This window comes from Homo sapiens, chromosome 15 (genome assembly GCF_000001405.40).
Source record: "Homo sapiens chromosome 15, GRCh38.p14 Primary Assembly".
NCBI classification, from domain to species: domain Eukaryota; kingdom Metazoa; phylum Chordata; class Mammalia; order Primates; family Hominidae; genus Homo; species Homo sapiens.
This window is the reverse complement of record NC_000015.10, coordinates 22,444,741-22,469,890: the sequence shown is the minus strand read 5'-3', so window position 1 is coordinate 22,469,890 and position 25,150 is coordinate 22,444,741. Positions and strand designations below refer to the sequence as shown.

Below are 25,150 nucleotides of genomic sequence, written 5' to 3'. Positions count from 1 at the left end.
CCCATTGTCAGGGTCTCCACATGTGGACGTGTGCAGAGGTGGGGGTGCTGAGGGAGGAGGGGCAGGGAATTTCTCATCTTCTCTCTACTGCCTCTGAGTTGGAGATGTCAGAGGGAGCCATGGCCCACTGTAAAGTAACACAATGTCCCCACCCACAGGATTAGAACCCCTCCCCTGGAAGCAGCTCTGAGGGGAACAGTCACATGTAGAGAGTGCAGGGCACTGTGTCCAGCCGGGGGAAGGAGGTCACCAAGGGGGTTGACCCCCCTCTGGCCAGGTGGCTGCCTTCTGACACACCAGCCTCTGTCTCTAGCACGGTGGCCCCCACACACCCAGCCTGTGAAACCTACAGCCCTCAAGAAGACTTTGGCCAAATTAATGAGCGGCTCCCTCTCCCAGGAGGAAGCACAGGTGAAGGATGTGGAGGGCAGTAGAGTTGTGTGTGCTCCGCCCCCTTTCTCCGCAGTCGGATGGAAAGAAGGGGGCTTTCAGCCAGGCTCGCCCAGGCTGGGGTCTGAGTGTCACTGTCCAGCTATTGGCTTCTTGCTTAATGGGTGAGCCCAGCTGCTCCCGTGCAGCTGCCGCCCTAGTGAGGGTGAACCGGCAGGCGAGTTACATTTCTGAAAGCCTGGGAATACAGTAAATATTAGGCTGTGGGCTGCTGGGCCAGGAAGAGTTGTTTATTTTTCAGGGTTTGTTTATCTATTGACTTGATGAGGGAGGGTTATAGGTACAACCAGTTTAAAGATGGAAATTTTGAGAGAGCAGGCAGGGATTTAGTGCTGGGTAAGCCTGGTCAAAGTGGCTCTTTTGGGGCGGCCAGAATCCAGTACCAATGTCCTCAGCATGTTCATCAGCTGGCTGGGGGAGTGCGGGACAGCATGAAAGCACAGGAGAACTTTCTGGATGATAGAAATACTCTGTATCTTCAAAGGAGGTGGGTTCCATAGTAATGTTAAATGAGTTAAAACTCATCAAAATGTAAACCAGACCTGTGCATTTCACTAATAGAAATTATACCTCCAATTAAAAACATGTTTTAAAAGACAGATGGGCCGGATGCAGTGGCTCATACTTGTAATCCCAGCACTTTGGGAGGCTGAGGCAGGTAGATCACCTGAGTCAGGAGCTCGAGACCAGCCTGGAAAACATGGTGAAATCCTGCCTCTATTAAAGGTATAAAAAAAAATTAGCCAGGCATGGTGGCACACGCTACTCGGGAAGCTGAGGCAGGAGAATTGCTTGAACCCAGGAGGCAGAGGTTACAGTGAGCAGAGATCGTGCCATTGCACTAGAGCCTGGGCAACAGCGCAAGACTCCATCTCAACAACAACAAAAAAAGGACAGATGAAGGTTTTCAACTTTCAATAAAGGCAGAGGAGCTTGTTACAGATTCGCCTCCCCACAAGAGCAGTTAGAAAAACTGGATAAAAATGTGCCCCGCCCCCAATCAAAAACAATTGTTGGAAGGTAATTGGAGACCTCAGTCAGGACTTGAGTGACCAGGCCTAGGAGGTGATCCTGACAGTCTGTAGTGCTTTCCCACATTTGGTGATTGGTCAACAGTAGAGGGCTAAGAGGCTAAGAAACTGAGTATGAAGTGGTAGTTAAGAGGCTGGAGAGCCTAGCTGAATGTTTGGCACTCTCACAGGGCTGAAATGACCTAATGAGAATTTGGGTCCCAGGAAGGAGATGGGACCTTGGTGGGGACCCTGGAAGGGCCACCCCTGGGAGTCCAGATGAATAAAACATAGACCAGCCATCAGAAAACCTAAAACCTGCTTTGAACCAGCTTAGTCCCAAAGTAGATGAAGGCGATCTGCCCTTACTCCAATTGTGTGCCATAAACTCAAAGTCAATACTCTCTGGAGGCAGATAAAAGTTTACTATGAATGTCAAAAGACAACACAAGACTAAATGAGAAAGACCAAGAAGAAAACTAATAGAAACATACATGTAAGGAAGAAACTTTTTTTTTTGAGACGGAGTTTCGCTCTGTCACCCAGGCTTGAGTGCAGTGGCACGATCTCAGCTCACTGCAACCTCTGCCTCCCAGGTTCAAGCGATTCTCCTGCCTCAGCCTCCCAAGTAGCTGGGATTACAGGCATGCGCCACCATGCCCGGCTAATTTTTGTATTGGCCAGGCTGGTCTTGAACTCTTGACCTCAGGTCATCCATTTACCTCGGCCTCCCAAATTGCTAGGATTACAGGCGTGAGCTACCATGCCTGGCCAGTATTTTGCCACAATTTAAAATAAATAAAATTTTTTTTTCAGGTTTGTGCTCAGACTATATTCTAAACAGTCACATGGCGGCTTACTCTTCTCCAGGCCTTGCTGCCGGCTTTTACATGTTTATTGTCTTTGCCTTCTTGTCATGTGCTCATTAGATGGCAGCTTCCAGGTGCTCCTAAGGGGCCAGGAAAGAGAGTGAGAAGGCACGGAGGTTGCCAGATCATCCCCCTTGGGGCCCCGCCCTCATCAACTCCCTCAACCGGGTCTCCTGCAACTATTGGTGGGCCATCTCGGCCACCGCTTCGCCCTGAGCTTCCTGCTGCTGCAGCTGGGCAGTGCCTCCTTCTCAGAGGCCAGCTGCTGATAGGCGGCCACGTACTGCTGCAGGTGACCCAGGTAATGGTCTCGCTGCTGCTGCAGACTCAGCCTCTTGGCTCTTCAGCTCCACCTGCAGGATAGGCGTCAGGGTAGGTAGTGGCTGGCTTCCAGATTCTGGGCCCATAAACAGGGTAGTGAGGGCACTGCGGGGCTCTGTCGCCTACCCAGGCCCCTGGCCCTGGCCCCTTCCTCCAGGCCTAAATGACTGCCTCCCTTGCCTAGAGGCCCATGCCTCCCTCCCCAGCCTCAAATCTCACACCCTTCTTCCCACCATTTAAACTGTAGGCCACAGACTGGTGGAAAAGCAGAGGGAGCCAACCACCATCTGCTAAGTTGTGGTGAGGTCGTTCTGTATGATCTCCAGGGTTTGCACACACCTCCGCCTGCTCCCCCCAAGAGCTCGGCCTTCTGCCCCAGCTTCCCCAGCCTCTCCTCCAGCTCCTGCAGCCTCACCTAGTGTTCCTGCATCTTCTCCTCCTGCTGCCGCAGCCTCACTTCCTGCTCCCACATCTTCTCCTCCTGCCTCCGCATCTTCTCCTCCTGTTCTTGCATCTTCTCTTCCTGCTCACACATCTTCTCCTCCTGCTCCCACATCTTCTCTTCCTGTTCCTGCATCATCTCCTCCTGCTCTCGTATCTTCTCCTCCTGCTCCCGTATCTTCTTCTCCTGCTCCCTTATCTTCTCCTCCTGCCTCCGCATCTTCTCCTCCTGTTCTTGCATCTTCTCTTCCTGCTCCCCCATCTTCTCTTCCTGTTCCTGCATCATCTCCTCCTGCTCTCGTATCTTCTCCTCCTGCTCCCGTATCTTCTTCTCCTGCTCCCTTATCTTCTCCTCCTGCCTCCGCATCTTCTCCTCCTGTTCTTGCATCTTCTCTTCCTGCTCCCAAATCTTCTCCTCCTGCTCCCCCATCTTCTCTTCCTGTTCCTGCATCATCTCCTCCTGCTCTCGTATCTTCTCCTCCTGCTCCCATATCTTCTCCTCCTGCTCTCGTATCTTCTCCTTCTGCTCCCGTATCTTCTCCTCCTGCTCCCTTATCTTCTCCTCCTGCCTCCGCATCTTCTCCTGTTCTTGCATCTTCTCTTCCTGCTCCCCCATCTTCTCTTCCTGTTCCTGCATCATCTCCTCCTGCTCTCGTATCTTCTCCTCCTGCTCCCGTATCTTCTCCTCCTGCTCCCGTATCTTCTCCTCCTGCTCCCTTATCTTCTCCTCCTGCTTCCACATCTTCTCCTCCTGCTCCTGCCTCTTTTCCTCCTGCTCCCGTATCTTCTCCTCCTGCCTCCACACCTTCTCCTCCTGCTCCCGTATCTTCTCCTCCTGCCTCCACATCTTATCCTCCTGCTCCTGCCTCTTCTCCTCCTCCCATATCTTCTCCTGCTCATGCATCTTCTCTTCCTCCCTCCACATCTCCTCCTGCTCCCGTATCTTCTCCTCCTGCTCCCGTATCTTCTCCTCCTGCCTCCACATCTTCTCCTCCTGCTCCCGTTTCTTCTCCTGCTCCCGTATCTTCTCCTCCTGCCTCCACACCTTCTCCTCCTGCTCCCGTATCTTCTCCTCCTGGTCGTGCATCTTCTCCTCCTGCCTCCACACCTTCTCCTCCTGCTTCCGTATCTTCTCCTCCTGCTCGTGCATCTTCTCCTTTTGCCTCCATATCTCCTCCTGCTCCCTTATCTTCTCCTCCTGCCTCCACATCTCCTCCTGCTCCTGCCTCTTCTCCTCCTCCCGTATCTTCTCCTGCTCGTGAATCTTCTCCTCCTGCCTCCACATCTTTTTCTCCTGCTCCCGTATCTTCTCTTCCTGCTCCCGTATCTTCTCCTCCTGCCTCCACATCTTCGCCTCCTGCTCCTGCCTCTTCTCCTGCTCGCGTATCTTCTCCTCCTCCTGCCTCTTCTCTTCCTGCTCCCGTATCTTCTCCTGCTCGTGCATCTTCTCTTCCAGCTCCCGTATCTTCTCCTCCTTCTCCCACATCATCTCCTCCTGCCTCCGCATCTTCTCCTCCTTCTCCCACATCATCTCCTCCTGCCTCCGCATCTTCTCCTCCTGCTCCCGTATCTTCTCCTCCTGCTCCCGTATCTTCTCCTCCTGCTCCTGTATCTTCTCCTCCCACTCCTGTATCTTCTCCTCCTGCCTCCACATCTTCTCCTCCTGTTGCTGGTTCAGGCGGTTCCACAACTCGTTCTCTTCCACCTGGGCTTGGAGCTTTGCTGACACACTCTGCAGCTCCTTACCCAGGTGGTCAGCCTCCGCCTGCAGCTGCTGCTGGAATAGTGAAAGTGTTTTTTTGAACCTCAGAAGGAAGCAGAATCATGAGCTAGCCACATAAATGTAATCTATAGGCTGGGCGCGGTGGCTCACGCCTGTAATCCCAGCACTTTGGGAGGCCGAGGTGGGCGGATCACGAGGTCAGGAGATCGAGACCATCCTGGTTAACACAGTGAAACCCCGTCTCTACTAAAAATACAAAAAATTAGCTGGGTGTGGTGGTGGGCACCTGTAGTCCCAGCTACTTGGGAGGCTGAGGCAGGAGAATGGCGTGAAGCCGGGGTTGGAGCTTGCAGTGAGCCGAGATTGCGCCACTGCACTCTGGCCTGGGTGACAGAGTGAGACTACTTCTCAAATAAATAAATAAATAAATAAATAAATAAATAAATGTAATCTATAAAATAATGGTTTTCATCCATGATCCTTTAAAAAAATATTTTTAAGCCCTAACTCTTGAGATTCTGATTCCCCAGGCAGGGCCCCAATTTGTACATTTTTAGCACACTCTAGAGGATTCTATGGCGGGACCAGAACAAGGACCCAAATTTTCCAGCTCTTGGCTGGAGCCTCCCCATACCCTGCATGATCCCTAGACCATGGTCCCAGCTGGATGGGTCTCCCACAACCCCCGGGGCTGCAGCTGCTCACCTGTGGCAGCAGGAGCTTGGCCCTCTCCAGTTTCCTTTTTAGCTCCTTTACGTTGAGCTGGATCTCAGACTTTTCAGATTCTACAAGTTGAAGTTTTTCTTGTAGTTTGGCATTTTTCTCCTTCAGCTCCTCATCAGTTATGCTATGGCCAGAGGCAGTAGAGAAAGGAATGAATGAAGAACATAAAAGACCACTTTGGTGATTGACCCCCTACCCTCGCCCCACAACCACAGAACCGTGGCGCTGGAAGGGACCCCAGGAATTAAAAGTCCCAGGTGGCAGGCCAGAGAGAAGACATGAGTTGCCTGAGGCTACCCCATGAGTCAGTGGCACAGCCAGCACTAGAGCTTCCGTGTGCACACATGAAAACATGTATGAGCCTCTCCGCACACTCACCTGGACCCCCCACCTCCCAGCACACCACCCATGCTAAGGGCCCCCAGACCTCCCATTCCACCTTCCCCCATCCTACGTGTTCCTGTACAGTTCCAGACTCAGGGCGTCCCTCTCCTTTGTTAACTCCTCAATGTACTGCAAATAGAGAAAGGTTAAGTCAGGATAGAGCAGGCACAGCAGTAGCTGGACGACCAGGAACAACTGCTACAGTGACTACTCCACAGTAACACTTCCTCACTCTCAATCACACCTGACGTGTTCTCAAGGCATTTCCAAGCCCATGGTCTCATTTGTTTTTCTTTCTTTCTTTCTTTCTTTTTTTTTTTGGCAGAGTTTCATTCTTGTTGCCCTCACTGGAGTGCAATGGCACAATCTCAGCTCACCACAACCTACACCTCCTGGGTTCAAGCAATTCTCCTGCCTCAGCTTCCCGAGTAGTTGGGATTACAGGCATGTGCCACCACACCGGGCTAATTTTGTATTTTTAGTAGAGACGGGGTTTCTTCGTGTTGGTCAGTCTAGTCTTGAACTCCTGACCGCAGGTGATCCGCCCACCTCAGCCTCCCAAAGTGCTGGCATTACAGGCGTGAGCGAGAGCACCTGGCCCTCATTTGTTTTTCAAAGAACTCAGTGGATGTGGAAGGGACAGGGAAAGAGATTGAATTTAGAGCTGGCTAACAGGGGCCCAGAGCGATCAGATAATATTGTTATTGCTATTACTGTTAGTACTACCACTGTTCGAACCTTTCTTGAGTGCTTCACCAGGCACTATGCTAACAATCCCATTTAATCCTCACAACCTCCATAGGAGACGGTTACCATTATTACCTCTATTGTGTAGATGAAAAACATGTGGTATTAAAGGTTAAGTGCTGCCTAAGATCACTTGGAGCTGGGATTTCAACACCCAGGTATATCTGATTCTCTAAGCCCATTCTTTCGCTGGAGGTAGGGGCACAGTTAAGAAGGAGGAAATTAATCCTTTGTTGAATTTTTGAAAGGATGATACGTTCGCATAGTCCAAAACTCAGAAAGTCCAGAAGGGAAATATCTCCCCCCAACACTGTGCCTCTATCCTGAGTTTTTTAATGAATCCTTACAAACGTGTTTTATGTATGTTACCATAATACGTACACACACACACATATACACCTGCCCCCTCTCTCCACACAAATAATAACATACTCAAGATACTCTTCTGTACCTTTATGGTACAAGTACCCTAACCGCCACTTAGGACTTGGCCAAGGCCACAGCCAAGTATGGGCAGGGCGGGCACTTGGCCTCTGAGATCTATGTCCAGTGCTCGCTCCTCACAGTGCTCCCCAACTCACCCACAACAGCCGACTCAGCCCCAGTCTGCCTCTAACAACCACACACAAAAGCAGCAAGAAATGGCCATGCTGCCTTCTGGGCAGGACACTCCATCCTACAGAAGGGACCTTTAGGCTCACTCCTCCATCTGCGAAGCTGGGCTCCCAAGGGACGGGGCCGTGTTTGGACTCACCCTATCCGCCTTCTTCTTCTGTGTAGTGACAGCAGAGAGAGCCTGCTCTAACTCTCCTGCAAACTTCCATGAATCATGCAGGCGGCTGATCAGATCCCTGGCCTCTCCTGGAATGAGAGACATTCAGATGTGGCCCAAAGGACTCCCCCTAAAGGCCTGTCAAAGTGCCAGGTTGAAGGATGATGGGGTGCCAGATTCCCACCTTCCAACTGCTTGACAGCATGCTGGCTGTAGTAGAGTGCCATCTGAAGCTCAGTTTTCTGACATGTAAGGATTCGTATGGTATGAACCTGGGCCTTTGGGAGAAAAGACAAGCAAATGCTGAAAGAGAAGCAAAGAAACATTCTCCAGAGGGCAGGAGGGAACTTCACACCCTCCACTCACCTCTAGCTCCCTCCTTAGGGCTTCCTGATGTTGGTGGCTTGCCTTCTGTTCCTATAGAAAGAGGAAAACAGAGCTCTTACTAGGGGTAGGCAGAGATCCACAGCAAGAGACATGCCCCCAGAATGGCACCACTGTCCCAGAACAGGCCCACCCATGGGACCAGTTTATCAGGGACCCTGTGGGGATGGGGTGGAATCTTGGGGGTGAGCCTTCTTCCCCAGGCTGGGAGTGGGTGAAATGAGCCTGGGGCCTCTACATCTGAGTGCCCCCAAACCCAGCGGTCATGTCGTGAGCAAAGAAATCACACTACTTCTTCCAGCTGAGCTCGGTTCTATTGTTTCTGTGGGGAGAGTCAAAGGAAGGTGACTGAGGGTGGCCCCCTTGACTCTATTCCCCAGGCCAGGAAGCGATAGGCAGGGGCCAGGAATGGATTTAAAAGGCACAGTTCTCAGACCCAATGGGAACATGAACTGGTCAACTCTCCTCAACTCCCAAAGAAGAAGGATTTGGGTCTTTTTGGTTTTTGCCCACAGCCACAGAACTCAAAGTCTGAAACTAGATTCTCTTGAAAAGACAGTAACAGAAACCTTCAGAGGTGGAGTGCGAGAAAAGCCCACCCTTCCGCCAGCTTGTGATTTAGAAAGGTGCATTCACTCAGCAAACGTTGAGCACATACGGGCCAGGGACGGTTCTTCACAGCGGGAATAGAGGTCAGAAAAGGCAGACAGGAGCCCTTGGCCCCGAGGTTTCCATTCTAGTGGGCCTTTAACTCTCGGGCTCTCAGAGCTAACAGAAACCTCTGATACTCTCTAACTCTACCTCAGGAAACGCAAGCCCAAGAAGGAGAGTTTACAGCAGGTCCTGGACGAGGGATTAACATAAAAACACAATGACAAATCTCATTTAAACTTCACAAACGTAAGGAAAACAATATCACTCGTATTTTACGGATGTGAAAAGAGAGGCCCAAAGAGCTCAAGCAATTTGCGCTAAATCATGTCCCTAGCAGATGGAGGGGTAGGATTCAAACCCAGAATTCTTAGCCAGTACCTGGCAGTTCTTCCACAATCTTAACAATTACCCTCCACCACCCCTTGGGCCCTCTGTCCCCAGGAGCCCGGCCAGCCAAGACTCACATCCTCAGGCGAGTGGCAACCACCAGAAGTGGTTGTCTCAGGGCTAGTGCCATTATTTATTTTCTTCTTTTTGGTGTCGCTTGCTGCTGTACCAACACTAGGGTTGGTCTGGGGATGATGGTCTGTCAACTGTGGAAAGGAAGAGCAGTGATACTCATGAGAACTACAAGCTCCTACAGTCACATCCTGCTTTACAGTTTATACTAAATACTCTTATAGACCATCTGATTTAATGCCACCAACTGTAGGAAATGTTGTCACAATCACTTAGTGACTGAGAGAGATTGATACCATGGCTGAAAAAAAAGGCAGTAATGGAACTTAAACTTAGTCTTCTGACTCTGAGCTCTGGGATTTTGCCCTAAATCAGCAGCTGCCAGGGACCAAAACCAGAGGCAGAGGTAGAAAAGCAAATATTAAGTAGGCAGGAACTGTGCACTATGTGGTTTAGGGTTATTCACCCTCACACGTCTGTTAGTGTTAAAAAGTACACCAGTACCTCTCAAACCTTTACATCAATGTCTCCTCATGGCAGAAGGCAGCCTTTCTGCTAAATCTGGGAATTTAACAGAAAGAGGACAACCCAAGCCTCATTTCAGAGAGAAGTCTTGTATACGCTTATAAATCTATGTGACTTTCATCCCTAAGTACATTAATGTTTTGCCTCTCAATAGAATCAAGGGAAACTGATGCTTCAGAAAGATGCCCCATATTTATCCTGTGGCACTCAAAGTACCCCAGGTTGAGATGAGATGAGGAAGACTCAAGCTAAGTTCAGTTTCCCAAGATCTGTTCCACAGAAGATAAGCAGATCTCACTCCAGAACCAGTGACTGAGGGGCACTCTGGTCCCAGAACAATGGAGAATTCAAATCTGAGGTGCAGAACTGAGAAAAAATGTTAAAGTCTCTCTGGAGAGTAGAAGCCTGGGAGAAAACCAAACCAAACCCATTCTCCCATTGCCACCCAGAGACACTGTCAACGTGTTGAGCTCATGGGGGAGGTGTAGGCTTTTCACACTGTCAAGGTCTGTGGTAAGGAAGTCAGGCAGCCTGAAACCTCTCTCTTCTAGGTCCCACAGTCCCCATTCCCCTTCCAGCTGGAAACCTGTGCTGCAACCAGAGGAAACAGAAGTGGGCAAGAACACTTAGGGGACTGGGTCCTAAGACCAAAGGCCGGTCTTGTGGTAGTAATGACAGTTTGTAGCGGGACTGTGACATCACTACATTCTACTCCTCGGTGGAGTTGTTGGGGGGGACACATGAGTGCAATGCCCAAGTTGCCGCTTTGAGACTGGGGAGGGGGTCACAAAATTGGGAGCCAGGTCCTTGGAGACGTGACCCCAAAGAGCCCCGGGAGGTCAGGCTTGGGGCGGCAGGAGGTGAGGGCCAATTAAGGAGCAAGGAGCTCCAGGAGTCACATCCCCAAAGTCACCCTGTGGCAACTGGTGAGGGCAGGTTCTGGGGCACCCAGGTCCTTGGAGATGTGAGCTCAAGGAGCCCAGGGAGGTCGGGTTTGGGGTAGCAGGAGGTAAGGGCGGAGTATGGAGTTGGAAGCCCCAGGAGTCACCTGCTCAAAGTCACCCTGGTGTGCCGGGCAGAGCAGGGGCAGGACTTATGAGGGGGTTGGGCTGGCTGACAAGATTTTGGTGTGGGGAGCCCAGAGGCACTGGGGTGGGGGGCCCAGCCTGGTGTCCCTCAGGAGTGGCACAGACTCTGGCAGCAGTTCGGCTGTCAGAGGGGGCCTCGGGTTGGGTTGGGGTGTTGGTGCGTTTACCTGTTCCTTGGCCTCGGCCAATTTGCTCTGTCTGGTTTCTTTGGACATCATAGGATGGGTAGGGAGGTGGGGATGGGTAGGGAGGTGGGGATGGGTAGGGAGGTGGGGATGGGTAGGGAGGTGGGGATGGGTAGGGAGGTGGGGATGGGTAGGGAGGTGGGGTTGGGGCCACATCAGCATGATCCAGGTGAGGACAAGTATATACCTCCAGTCACCTCTACGTCGCTGTGTGACTGAGCCAGAGGAGGCGTAACCAGGGCTGCACTAGAATGCAGAATAGGGGTGTGGCCTTCATGCTTGAAGCCCATTGGTCAATGAGAAAGATGAAAGGAAAAGGAGGTGTGGCCAGACAGCAGCGTGTCATCAAGGACCTGTGTTGTCACAAGGAAAGCTGCCTATGCAACCGCTGTCCCCGCCCACTCCAGGAGAGGGGCGGGGCTGGCTTTCACTTTAAAAACTTTAAAACTTTATTACCTCAATTGAGGTACAAGTCCTATTAAAATGGAAATTTTATAGTGTGCTTGATGATTGATAAAGCAGACTTTATTATCCAACATTCCAATAAGATAATCACAATGTTTTCTCTTTTTTGGAAAAACTTTCTCTTATTCTCCTACATTAGCGTTTAGTTTTTTTAAAAAAAACAAACAAACAAGAAACATGTCTAATATCTTTAAAAATACAAAGCTTTGAGCCAGGCGTGATGGCTCATGCCTGTAATCCCAGCACTTTGGGAGGCTGGGGCGGGTGGATCACCCGAATTCAGGAGTTCAAGACCAGCCTGGCCAACATGATGAAATCCTGTCTCTACTAAAAATACAAAAGTAGCTGGGCATGGTGGCAGGTGCCTGTAATCCTAGCTACTTGGGAGGCTGAGGCAGGAGAATCCCTTGAACCTGTGAGGCAGAGGTTGCAGTGAGCCAAAATCATGCCACTGCACTTCAGCCTGGGCTGCTACAGAATGTGACTCTGTCTCTAAATACACACACACACACACACACACGCACAGACACACACACACACGCACACACACACACACACACACACACAAGGCTTTCCATTTAATAAGCACTCAAAGTTCTTTACAAGGTTAAAGCAAATACAGGACCCTTCTAAAGTAAGGCTAAATGCTAAGTGATGGGGGAGAGAAAAAGGACATAAATAACTCCTACTCTCATGAGTTAATCACTAAATCCGATTTTTCTAGAATCACCTGGCCTCTAAGCCCTGAAAATGAAACTGAATTTCTCACTCGATACTTGGCTATGACTTGCAATCATGAAAACCAAGAATTGTGTTATGTCACTGTGTATTGCTTGTTACCTGGGATCAAGGGTTGACTTTTTCATGATTTGCTCCATTACCTGTGTGCTTCTTCTCCCAGTCCAAACTACGCTTTTTTCTAGAGTTCTACAATTTACAGTTAGTATGTAAGGGTGGCTCTCAAACATGTAGTCTCCGGACCAGGAGCACCTGGGAACTTCTTATAAATGTAAATTCTCAGGCCCCACCCTAGACATGAATGAATCAGAAACTCTGCAGTAGGGCCCAGCAATCCGTGCTGCAATAATCCCTCCAGGTGCTCAGGAACCTCTGCCATACAGCAGGTAGAAAAATGTGTTTCCTTCTGTAGGTCCAAAGCCAGGGATACTATATGTTCTGTCTCAATATGAAACAATGACATGCAATTAAAAGACATAAATCTCCTTCCTACTTCCACCCTCCAGCCAGTGTGTTTTATTTTTATGAGTTCAATAAGAAAACGTGTGGCAATCAGAGATTTCATCTAAAAAATATATCTACAGGTATCAGTTCTCATCCAGCCTGATCTCATCCAATATCATTTCTATCCTCTTACATCTAAAGTTTTAGAAAAGGATTTTCACAACGTAAGACTCAGGCGCACTAGGAGTTCTATGATAAAAGACCAAGTAGATCTGAATGTCCAAACTTACTAGAGAAGAAAAGTGGACTCATTGGCTATATTTTCAAATTGCATTCAACAGGAAATTAAAGTTTTGAATTTTTTCCACCTTCATCCTTCCAAGTTAATAGAATTAAACCAGAATACTCCATTCTTCCAAAGCCTGTAGCCAGGCAAACTTTTACTGTATTACTTCTTGCTTTTCAATGGATATAAAGCAGAGTCCTGGTAGGCACATTTTGTATACCTGCAAAGATGCAAAACTAAACAGTTCCCTCGGTTCAATATTAAAACAAAAGTCCTGTAAACCTCAGATGGTGAGTGTAATACTTCAGCACTAGCACGAAAGCCTCAAATATAAAAAGATACCAAGAACCTTGCTAGCAAACCAAAGTAAGCTCTTGGCCGGGAGCAGTAGTTCACGCCCGTACTCCCAGCATATTGGCAAGCTAAGGTGGGGTAAGTCAGGAGTTAAAGACCAGCCTGGGCAGCATAGCGAATTCATATCTCTACAAAGAAAATTTAAAAATTAGCTGGGCTTGGCGGCACACACCTGTAGTCCTAGAGCTACTTGGGAGGCTGAGGTGGGAAAATCACTTGAGCCCAGAAGTTTGAGGCTGCAGTAGCTATGATCATGCCACTGCACTCCAGTTGGGGTGACAGAGCGAGATCTAATTATTACATTCTGTCCTGCTCCTGTTTCCACTAAAATCACTAACTTAAAATGTGTTCATTCAGCAGGATAAAAATTAAGTGAAATTTGACTTTGGTGCTTTGCTAGCAAAAAATAAATAAATAAAGTGAAGTGACAAATTACTTACTGGGAGAAGATCTTTGTAACCTCAATGACAGATTAAAGGTTTGTATCCTTAGCCTATAAAGAAATCTTTAAAATTACTCAGAAAAAAAAATGAATGATTTGCAGCAGAAAATGGGCAATGGAGAAACCAGCACTTCCCACAAGAATAAAAATGGCCAATGAGCAAATGAAAAAGATTCAAAAGCACTAGAAATCAAAGAAAGGTAATGAAAACAATGAGATTTTCTGCTTAAAGACCAGCGAAGACGACAAATGGAAGGCGGAACCTGGAGCTCTGTCCCTGTTGGTGGGAGCGTAAACTCAACCAATTTTCCTATAGGATGATTTGAACATTTGTTTTAAAAATCCTAAAACTGTTTTATATTATTTTCTTCTAGAAATTCTACTTCTATGAATTCAGTGCAAAAATCCTCACTCGAGTCCATTAAAATATATATAGAAGGAAATCCACCTCTGGGGTGGCAATGATTCACTTAACATACATCCAGCTGTTGAAAGTGATGATGCCAGGATATATTTCTCCCATAGAAACATGCTTAAAATATAGTAAGTGACAAAAGACCATGTATTGTGATTCTACTTTTTAAAATGTTTACAGCATAAAAAGTGTGAAAAGCAACAAACTGGAATGTTTTGAGTGGCAAAATTAAAGATTTTTCTTTACATTTTGTCATCCAAATTATTACAAAAACAATGTGATTTCCTTTATAATCATGGAAAAGTGTTATTTTCATTTATTTATATTTACATTTCTTTTCTTTTTCTTCTTTTTTCTCCTGTATGTATCCCACATAGGCTACAGAGCTTAAATCCCTGCCTCTTGAGAGAAATCAGCCCATTTTCAGGACATGCAATACACAAAGCTGCCCCATCTTCCCTTTATTTTTATTTTTATCTTATTTATTTATTTATTTATTTATTTATTATTTATTTATTTATTTATGTTGAGATGGAGTCTCACTCTGTTGCCCAGGCTGGAGTGCGGTGGCGCATCTCAGCTCACTGCAACCTCCATATCCCGAGATCAAGCGATTCCCCTGCCTCAGCCTCCCGAGTACCTGGGACTATAGGCATGCACCACCATGCCCAGCTAATTTTTGTATTTTTAGTAGAGAGGAAGTTTTACCATCTTGGACAGGCTGGTCTCGAACTCCTGACCTCAAGTGATCCGTCTGCCTTGGCCTCCCAAAGTGCTGGGATTACAGGCATGAGCCACTGTGCCTGGCCTGTCATATTATTTCTAAACATTTGAGTGACATTTCAATTAAGTGAAATTTAATTCTTACTGATCTGATCTCTTATCCTCTGTTTAATGATACCTTCCAGTTGAAAGGTGTTTCCTCTGTAATCACGGGTGCCAAAGGAAATACAACATGTATTCATTAGGTGGATATCCACTAAACCACGGATTCATGCATTGTAGTCCTTAGACCCTCAGCATCAGAAACACGTGGGAACTTGTTAGACATGCAAATTCCTGGGCCAGCCCCACACCTCCTGAATCAGAAAGTGGGGAAGGACAGCTATCTGTGCTTTAATAAGCCTTGAGATGCTCCCTGAAGTTTGAAAACTACAGAACTAGAATACATATGGTAGTAAGTGCTCATACTTTATCCAAGGTACTAGGGACTCTTCCCCTCTTTTCCATTCTCTTTTCTGTTGAAATAAAATGAGAGCTCCTTTTGACTTAATGGGTATAAGAAAGAAGGCAATGAGATGACCAGGGTTTCAAGTTAGAGTTCAAAATTTAATCAGTGGACAGTGACAGGATGCAAGCCTTCTAAACAGATTGCTGCAAGGAAGCTGATTATAATCTATACAGTAGGTATCATTAGTGTATTGATGTTAAATTTTGGGGGTGGATTAATGGTATTGTGATTATATAGGAGAAGTCCTGGTTCCTAGAAGATATCTGCGAAAGTACTTAACAGTGAAATGCTCTGATACTGCCAACTTACTTTGAAATGATTCAGAGGGAAAAAGGGCACATATACAATCTTCCATACGCAGAAGACAGAAAACAAGTGTGACAAAACATTAACTAGTGAATCCAGTTGAATAGCATACAGATGTTCACTGTATGATTTTATCAACTTTTCTGTGTTTGCAAGTTTTCAAAATAAAAGTTGAGGGAAAGAAACATCACCCCAAATCTTTCTATGAAATGGGACCACAGAAAAAGCAGAGAAGTGAACACTTTGCAGAAAAGAGCACTGCACCCATCCGGACAGCATGGTCAAAGTGCAGGCTCTCCTCCAGGAGGCTCTTCTCTGGTCTCTTCTGTGCTGTCACTTCCCCCACATGCAGCCAAGGCTTTTTTCTAACAACTCTTTTTCTAAAGATGTAATTTTTGTCATTCATCTAAGAAAGAGAAGAAAAGAATTAGTATACATTTAGAAAATAAAATTACACTTACATTTGTGAAAAAGCAAAAAATACTTTGAAAAGTGGGGAAGCAAGAAATGTACTGTTCTACAATTCTGTTCTGTTCTTACCATCTTTTTATTCTGCCAATGACTTCCTATTCCTGCTGTGTATGGTGGGGTGAGCTGCAAATGATTTCTTTTCCTCATTGATTTAAAATGTCATGTTTATAATGTACCAAACTCCCCCAGAAGCATTTGGGTTTATTTCTGGGCTCTATTCTATTCAAGTAATCTATCTGTTCACAAGCCACTATCAATTTTGATTATTGGAGCATCCTAAAGTTAAGTAATTGTTGTTTTTGTTTTTGAGATGCAGTCTCTCACTCTGCCGCCCAGCTGGACTGCAGTGGCGTGATCTAGGCTCACTGCAAGCTCCACCTCCCGGGTTCATGGCATTCTCCTGCCTCAGTCTCCCGAGTAGCTGGGACTACAGGCACCTGCCACCACGCCTGGCTAATTTTTTGTATGTTTAGTAGAGATGGGGTTTCACCTTGTTAGCCAGGATGGTCTCGATCTCCTGACCTCGTGATCCGCCTGCCTCGGCCTCCCAAAGTGCTGGGATTACAGGCGTGAGCCACCGCGCCTGGCCCTGAATTTGCTTGAGTTTTTAGCTCTCTCACCCATTTCAGGATTGTCACCACCCATATCTGACACATCCTCCTCCTTCTCTAAATCTTCTAGGTCCTCCTGGCCATCAGCCTCTGTTTCTGAACCAGCCTCTTCATGCTCCTGTTCTTCACTCTCTGGGAGAAGACTGATATCTTCATCTTTCTTTCACTAACCGCATTCTGGAAGCACTGTAAAATTGCTTCATTTTGCAATTCCAGTTGTTGCAAAGTCTGCTCATCATCAAAACTTTCTATCACAAGTTTTTGTAAAGAGCTGCCATGGATTCTACCATTCTCTACTGTTTTATTAAAGTCATAAAGCACTTTTGTTAAAGAAGTGAACTTTGGTTCCAATCCATCTTGAAACCTATTGGGAGGAATTAAATGAGATTTAGAATTATAGATAATAATTTCACAGCCCTCTTAATTAAAAGAAAAATAAAAACCTCAACTCTTCTGTAAAATCAAATTTGAATAAAGTGTAAGTATAGATTCTGGCCCCAATAATATATAAGCTGATGAGCCACAATGATATATAAAACCTGTCAACCAAGTATTTGTGAATCATCTGTATAGATTGTTGGCAGGAAAAGCATTACAAATCTATTTGCTTGGAGATATATAGAGAATTAGCCTTAAATTTTCTACTCTGCTACATTATATACCACTCCATTCATTCATTCCCTTATTCACTCAATGATCAACATTTGCTTTGGCTACAGTGGTCAAGGAAAACCTCTCCTAGATGTGACATCTGAGATGAAACTTACAGACAAGTATAGTCTTATAAAGATTGGGAAACATGTATTCCAGGCGGAAGAAACAGCAAGAACAAATTCTCTAAGATGCAATTGAGCTTGGTAAGCCTGAGGAATAAAAAAGTGAGCATGGCTATAGCGTGAAGGAGGCAGAAGGTGAAGTTGGAGAGACTGATGGGAGCCAAATTCTGCAGGGCTCAAGGGTAAGAGTTTGCCGTTTTAAGTGTAATAAGAAAATGTGAGAAGATTTTAAGCAGAAGGATGAAATGATGATTTATACGAAGGAAGAAGAAAGGGAGGAAGGAGGAGGAGGAAAGTAGAGTGATTAGAAGGTTGATGCAGCATTCCAGGCAAAGGATGATGGTGATTTAAGCTGGAGTTAGAGCAGTGAATATGCTGAGTACAGTTTGGAGGTAGAACTGACAGGATTGCTAAGGAATTAGATACAGAATAGAGAAAAGTGAAGACATCAAAATAGCAGCCTAGTTTTATGTGCGAGCAACTGGAGAGACAGAACTGCCATTTACTGCGATAGGCAAGGCTTGAGTGGTGGAGCAAGGGGAAAGGACTTCAGCGGATGGCAGAGTGTAGGTGGGTAGAAACAACATTCTACTGTATTTTGGACACAGTGAATTTGTGATGCTGAGAGGATCAAAATTTAAAAAATTGTTAAAAGCCGTACGGTGCGGATATCCCAGTTGTGCGCTACTGAATTCCAACTAAGCTCAGTCTGGAGTTGCTTGTGAGCAAGGAACTCAAGGGAGAGGTTGGAGTTTGAAACATAAATGAGTCATAATTTTATAGGTCATATTTGAAGTTCTTCAACAAAATACACATAAAACGTTTGTGTTGGGAAGAGACATGAAAGTTCTAATTCTCAAGAAGCTTAGTGGGGTAGACAGACAAGTGACAAGTTTGTGCTTTCAATAAAGTATGATGGCAGGTAAACACTGAGTGCTTTAGGAGCACAGGCGGAAGGAGAAACCAACACAGTTGTGTGTAGGGGGATGGGGGCCGTAATAAGCCTCAAGGGGAGCTTATAGGCGTGAATAACTGAGGTTAGGTTGATTTCAATAACATTCATCTGAGAGATCCATACTGTAAAAGTTTTAACAATTTTTAAAATTTTGATAGCCTAGGTCCTCTGAAATGTGGGGAAAAGTGATTTACATTTCCCCTTACCTTCCCCCAGCTCCACAATTTGCCAGGGGTCTGCAACCCGTGTCCACGTGCGACCGCAGTCGCACCCGAGCCCGGGATCTGTGCACTTACGTGAGGATGCACTCGGGCCAGCCAGTGGCTTTGCCCACCTCCCTCAGACACCGCTCCAGGGTCCGTCAGCGCCAGGCCCATGGGCCATGGCTGTCTGCAACTCCCGACACAAGCTGCAAGGCAAGAGAGCCGCTGGGAAACCGCACCGCAAGGATGCTGGCATTGGAACAGGAATTAAAAGAAATGAAAAAATGTGTAAGCAAAAACTCAGCTGTATGTAAAAAAAACCCAATTCCCCCTGAGAATGAGAAAGAGCCTTAGTCCTTTAAAAAAACTACCTGTTTTCCTATGGCTAGTGAGCCTTATCGCTCCCTTCCCAGGCATTATCAAAACCCTAATTCCCTAACTGTGCAACTGCAAGGTCACTAAACAAACAAATGCAAGTCACAAAACATATTTTTCCTAAAAACGTAAAAAAAAAAAACATAATGCGTGCTTCAATTAAATAACTCTCTGTTTCTCGCTTCTGTAATATGCTTCCCCCTGCACAGATCTACCCGGGCTCCACAAAATGCTAAAAGATAACTCTTTATTCAGCTCAACGCTTTGATCTGCCTGGCGTGGTGGCTCACTCTTGTGATCCCAGGACTTTGGACGGCCAAGTAGGGTGGATCGCTTGTGCCTTGGAGTTCCAGACAGGCCTGGGCAACATGGTGAAACCTGGTCTTTTTGTTTTGTGTTGTTTTGAGACGGAGTTTCGCTCTTGTTGCCCAGGCTGGAATGCAGTGGCTGGGTCTCTGCTTGCCGCGACTTCCGCCTCCCGGGTTTCGGTCGTTGTCCTGCATCAGCCTCCAGAGTGGCTGGGATTGCAGGCATAAGCCACCAAGCCCGGCTAATTTTGTATTTTTTTTTTATTTTTATTTTGGTACAGATGGGGTTTCTCCCTGTTGGTCAGGCTGGTCTCAAACTCCCGACCTCAGGTGATCCACCTGCCTAGGCCTCCCGAGGTGCTAGGATTGCAGGCTTGAGCCACCGCTCCCGGCCCAACTTATTAATCAGAAAGGAATAGATCGTCCTGGTGTGGTGGCTCACGCTTGTGATCCCAGTACTTCGGATGGCCCAGCGCGGGGTATCCCTTGAGCCTAGGAGTTCCAGACCTGCCTGGGCAACATGGTGAAACCCGGTCTCTCTCTCTCTCTCTTTTTTTTTTTGAGGCGGAGTTTCGCTCTTGTTGCCCAGGGTGGAGTGCAGTGGCTGGGTCTCCGCTCGCAGCGACTTCTGCCTCCAGGGTTTTAGTAGTTCTCCTGCCTCAGTCTCCGGAGTGGCTGGGATTGCAGGCCTGACCAACATTGCTCTGCTAATTTTTTTTTATTTGTTTTTGGTAGAGACGGGGTTTCTCCATGCTGGGCAAGCTGATCTCAAACTCCAGACCTCAGGTTATCCGCCCACCTCGGCCTCCGGGGATGCTGGAATTGCAGGCGTGAGCCAGCGCACACACCCAATTTATTTTTATTTCATTTTTTATTTTTATATATATATACTTTTGAGACGGAGTCTCACTTTGTCACCCAGGCTGGAGTGCAGTGGTGCGCTGTCTCGGCTCACTGCAACCTCTGCCTCCCAGGTTCAAGCGATTCTCCTGCCTCAGCCGCCTGAGTAGCTGAGATTACAGGCGCCCGCTAGCACACCCATCTAATTTTTTTTTTTTTTTTGTATTTTTAGTAGAGATGGGTTTTCATCATGTTGGCCAGGCTGGTCTCGAACTCCGGACCTCAGGTAAACCCACCTCGGCCTCCCAAAGTGCTGGGATGACAGGAAGGATCGGCCTGGCGTGGTGGCTCACGCTTTTGATCCCAGGAGTTTGGACGGGCCGAGCGTGGCGGATCCCTTGATCCTAGGAGTTCTAGACCAGCCTGGGCAACGTGGTGAAAACCGGTCTCTCTCTCTCTCTCCTTTTTTTTTTTGAGGCGTAGTTTCCCTCTTGTTGCAGGGCTGGAGTGCAGTGGTGCGGTGTCGGCTCCCCGCGGCCTCTGCCTCTGGGTTTGGGTGGTTCTCCTGCCTCAGCCTCCGAGTGACTGGGATTGCAGGCGGGAGCCACCATGCCCGGCTCTTTTTTTTTTTTTTTTTTTTTTTTTTTTTTTCTGGTAGAGACAGGTCTCTCCATGTTGGTCAGGCTGGTCTCAAACTCCCGACCTCAGGTGATCCGCCCGCCACGGCCTCCCGGGGTGCTGGGACTGCAGGCGTGAGCCACCGCTCCCGGCCCAATTTATTAATCAGAAAGAAATAGATCGGCCTGGCGTGGTGGCTCACGCTTTTGATCCCAGGACTTTGGACAACCGAGCGTGGGGAATTGCTTGAGCCTAAGAGTTCCAGACCTGCCTGGGCAACATGGTGAAAATCTGTCTCTTATTATTATTTTTTTTTTTTTTGAGGCGGAGTTTCCCTCTTGTTGCCCAGGCTGGAGTGCAGTGGCTGGGTCTCCGCTCGCGGCAAATTCTGCATCCCGGGTTTTGGTGGTTCTCCTGCCTCAGCCTCCTGAGTAGCTGGGATTACAGGCGCCTGCCGCCACACCCGGCTAATTTTTTTTTTTGTATTTTTAGTAGAGACGGGTTTTCATCATGTTGGCCAGGCTGGTCTCAAATTCCTGACCTCCGGTGATCCACCCACCTCCGCCTCCCCAAGTGCTGGGATGACAGGCGTGATCGGCCTGGCGTGGTGGCTCACGCTTTTGATTCCAGGACTTTGGACTGGCCAAGCGTGGGGGATTGCTTGAGCCTAGGAGTTCCAGACCGGCCTGGGCAACATGGTTAAACCCAGTCTTTTTTTAAATTCCTTTATTATTATTATTATTATTTTTTTTTGAGACGGAGTCTCTCTGTCGCCCAGGCTGGAGTGCAGTGGCGCTATCTCGGCTCACTGCAGCCTCTGCCTCCCAGGGTCAAGGGATTCTCCTGCCTCAGCCTCCTGAGTAGCTGGGATTACAGGCGCCCACCACCACACCCGGCTAATTTTTTTTTATTTTTTAGTAGATCGTGGTAACTGCCTTAAAATGATGATTGTTCAGAAAGTCAGTTTAATTTAGATACTAAGGATATTGAGGTTATGTAACATTTGAGCAAGTTCTAAAAAAAAGAGAAATAGTATATTTAATTGCTAATAAAGTATTGTCAACTCACAAATATATTCACATAGCATACATTTCAAGAGCAGAATAACCATGAATATAAAAGGAATTAGCAAAAACGAAACAAAAAAGACATGAAGAAATAAAAACAGATGGAACAAATAGCACAAAATACGATGAAAGTTATAAAAGAAACTATGCCAACAATCACAATAAATGTAAATAGACTGAATAATTAAGAGAAAATGACTATAAAACAGAATTAGGGCACGCGTGGTGGCTCATGCCTGTAATCCCAGCACTTTGGGAGGATGAGGCAGGCGGAGGGATCACAAGGTCAGGAGTTCGAGAGCAGCCTGACCAACATGGTGAAACCCCATCTCTGCTAATACAAAAATTAGCCGGCGTGGTGGTGAACATCTGTAATCCCAGTTACTCAGGAGGCTGAGGCAGGAGAATCGCTTGAATCCAGGAGGCAGAGGTTGCAGTGCCGAGATCACACCATTACACTCCAGCCTGGGCAACAGAGCAAGACTCCGTATCAAAAAAAAAAAAAAACACACAAAAAAACACAAAAAACAGAAAATAAACAGTATGAAAAGACATCTAAAACATAAAGTCACAGAAAGACTGAGAGAGATTGAAAAAAGATACACCTGTCATATGTACCTAACCCAAAGAAGGGTTGGAAGCTATATTATTATCAGATAAAATAGGCTTTGGGCAAAAAGCAATATGGGAGATTTTTTAAGGCCACAATATAATGATAAAAATTCTAATAAACCAAGGGAGAAGGTAATCTAAAATGTTAATGTATCTAATAACTAGCACTCAAAATACATGAAAGCAAAATATGACAAAATTGCAACCCTCAGAGGGCAATTTAAATACATATCTCAGTATCTGATAAAAGAGACAAAAAACAATCAGCATAGACATAGAAGATTTACATCTCTCTAGAAAATTAACAAGCTTGACTTAATGTACAGAAAAAACATCTCTCCAAAGTGACAGCATTCACCCCCCCAAGTACATATGTACTGAGCCATAAGGAAAATCTCAACAAATTCCAAAGAAGCGGAATCATGCACCCATCTTTCTCTCTAACCATAATCTCATTAAACTAAAAACAATAATAAAAAGATAAAGTAAAAAGCCAGAAAGGCAGATGCTAAATGAGAAAGTGACAGAAAAGTTACAGATTTTGTTAAGCATACAAAGCTTCTATGGGGTAAAGCAGTCAAAGGGATATGCAAATTTACACAGAAATCCAACCGATATAAATCCTTGAAAGATACTACATACAGATATTTCATCAGTTCTCACATGCCAAACCCAGCAAAGCCAAACTTTGGAGCCTCCCCTGCGAGCAGACCTGCCACAGGAGGAGAGGCAGCACAAACCTCCCTTTGCAGTGAAAATGCCACATTGTGTGTGCTTCTTACCCCATCACCTCTTTGGAAGTGGCCCCACTCAGCGCTAGCTGAGAATCGCTTCCCTCATACCACTCTCAGTAGTTCACCCCAAGACACACGGGACAACTCTGTACCTGGTAAGTCATTGTGAATCCAATTAATAATGGCATTCAGAAAGTTAGGAATCTTTGAATTATTAGATTCATAGTGATATTCAAAAGAAAGAAAACGACATCATTTCTGTTCCACGCATGTTGCCCACATTCACTGCGTAAAAGGCAAAGGGAACTGTGAGTACCCACAAAGAACCTGATATTGACGGCACATACATTTCTTCATTAGGAAGAATAAATTTAGACTGTAACAATTTAAAAAACCAGAAAATACAACTGTACATTTTAGTTCTTATTAAAATCCAAGAGTTTTAACTTATTTGCTCCTTGTTTAGGTAATTAGTGTCTAAAACATTTCAAAGATAACATATATAGTGGCTACGATTTCTAGTACTTTTTAAAAATTCAAGCCCAGTCTCTTCTAATTAAATGTATAAATGATTTATCTCTGTCTTTCTTAAAAAGAACCAAGAGCCCCAATTAAAAAGTAAAACTTAAATTTCCTCTTAAAAAATTGTTACGTCGGCCGGGCGCGGTGGCTCACGCCTGTAATCCCAGCACTTTGGGAGGCCGAGGCGGGCGGATCACGAGGTCAGGAGATCGAGACCATCCTGGCTAACACGGTGAAACCCCGTCTCTACTAAAAAAATACAAAAAAAAATTAGCCGGGCGTGGTAGCGGGCGCCTGTAGTCCCAGCTACTCGGGAGGCTGAGGCAGGGGAATGGCGTGAACCCGGGAGGCGGAGCTTGCAGTGAGCCGAGATCGCGCCACTGCACTCCAGCCTGGGCGACAGAGCGAGACTCCGTCTCAAAAAAAAAAAAAAAAAAAAAAAAAAAAAAAAATTGTTACGTCAAAATTATCTAATAAACCATAGTTCAGAAAATAATTTCTGAATTAAGAAAATATGAAGAATAAAACCAACAGTTTATGTGCTGAATTTCACATTTTTATTTTTTATTATTTTTAAAATTTTGTTTTAAGTTCTAGGGTACATGTGCAGGAGTGTTACGTAGGGAAACGTGTGCCATGGTGGTTTGGTCCACCTATCAACTCATCACCTCAGTGTTAAGCCCAGCACGCATTAGCTATTTTTCCTGATGCTCCTCCCCCACCCGCCCTGACAGGCCCCAGTATGTGTTGTTTCCCTTCCTGTGTCCATGTGTTCTCACTGAACCTCACATTTTTAAATACAGCATATGCCAGGTGTCATTTCAGTACCCATAATTATACATAGTATATGTATATGTGTAAATATATGTATATGTGTACATATATGTATGTAATATGTGTATGTAAATATTATGTAAATATGTATGTATGTAAATATATATGTAAATATGTATGTGAATGTATGTAAATATATACACATGTAAATATGTATGTAAAAATATGTACGTAAATATATGTATGTAAATATATGTATATATAAATGTAAAATATGTAAATATTTGTAAATGTAAAATATGTAAATGTAAAATAAATGTAGAATGTCAAATGTAAATGTAAAATGTAAAATAAATGTAAAATGTAAAATAAATGTAAAATGTAAATGTAAAATATGTAAATATATGTATATGTGTAAATATATATGTGTAAATATATATGTATATGTGTAAATATATATGTGTAAATATATATGTATATGTGTAATATATATGTATATGTGTAAATATATATGTATATATAACACAGCATACAGCATATGCCAGGAGTCATTTCAGTACCCATAATTATACATAGTATAATTATACATAGTATAATTAGACTACTATGTTAGCTAAAAAATGTTGATTAGATACAAATGTATAAATTTATCTTCTCTAAACGTGGAAATTCTCTAGAGGCTATTTCCAGCTTCTGTGTGGATTGTAGAGCAGGCTGCTACCTGTACCCCAAAAATGAACACCTTAAAAAAAAGACAACTTTCTCAGCCTCCCTATTGCACACACATATGAAAAATATGTTAAATTCAACGCCAAATATTCCTGAGATCAACACAGCAGTGATCCCAAAGAGAAAATTTCTCTTTGCT

At 45.7% G+C, this 25,150-nt stretch overlaps 1 protein-coding gene, 1 long non-coding RNA gene and 1 pseudogene across 3 annotated transcripts; all 3 read right to left on the bottom strand.

The window, feature by feature from the left end:
* Positions 1-664: 664 nt before the first annotated feature.
* Positions 665-10,988, bottom strand: GOLGA6L22 (golgin A6 family like 22). Of its 2 annotated transcripts, none has more exons than NM_001396956.1 (9): positions 10,718-10,988; positions 8,943-9,071; positions 7,807-7,857; positions 7,625-7,718; positions 7,423-7,529; positions 5,992-6,050; positions 5,520-5,661; positions 3,066-4,868; positions 665-2,409 (listed from the first exon to the last, which is right to left on the bottom strand). In NM_001396956.1, the coding sequence occupies exons 1-8, from the start codon at positions 10,895-10,897 to the stop codon at positions 3,066-3,068; spliced, it is 2,565 nt and encodes an 854-aa protein (NP_001383885.1). In that variant the 5' UTR covers positions 10,898-10,988; the 3' UTR covers positions 665-2,409. The 2 variants fall into 2 exon arrangements, with proteins under 2 accessions (NP_001383885.1, NP_001383886.1); NM_001396957.1 differs by having other exon boundaries at positions 3,066-4,865.
* Positions 10,989-15,510: 4,522 nt separating this feature from the next.
* LOC124900355 (uncharacterized) lies at positions 15,511-16,539 on the bottom strand. Its single transcript, XR_007064786.1, has 2 exons — positions 16,508-16,539; positions 15,511-15,822 (listed from the first exon to the last, which is right to left on the bottom strand). It is a non-coding gene; the product is annotated as an uncharacterized LOC124900355 (long non-coding RNA).
* Positions 16,395-16,875, bottom strand: MPHOSPH10P9 (MPHOSPH10 pseudogene 9; annotated as a pseudogene).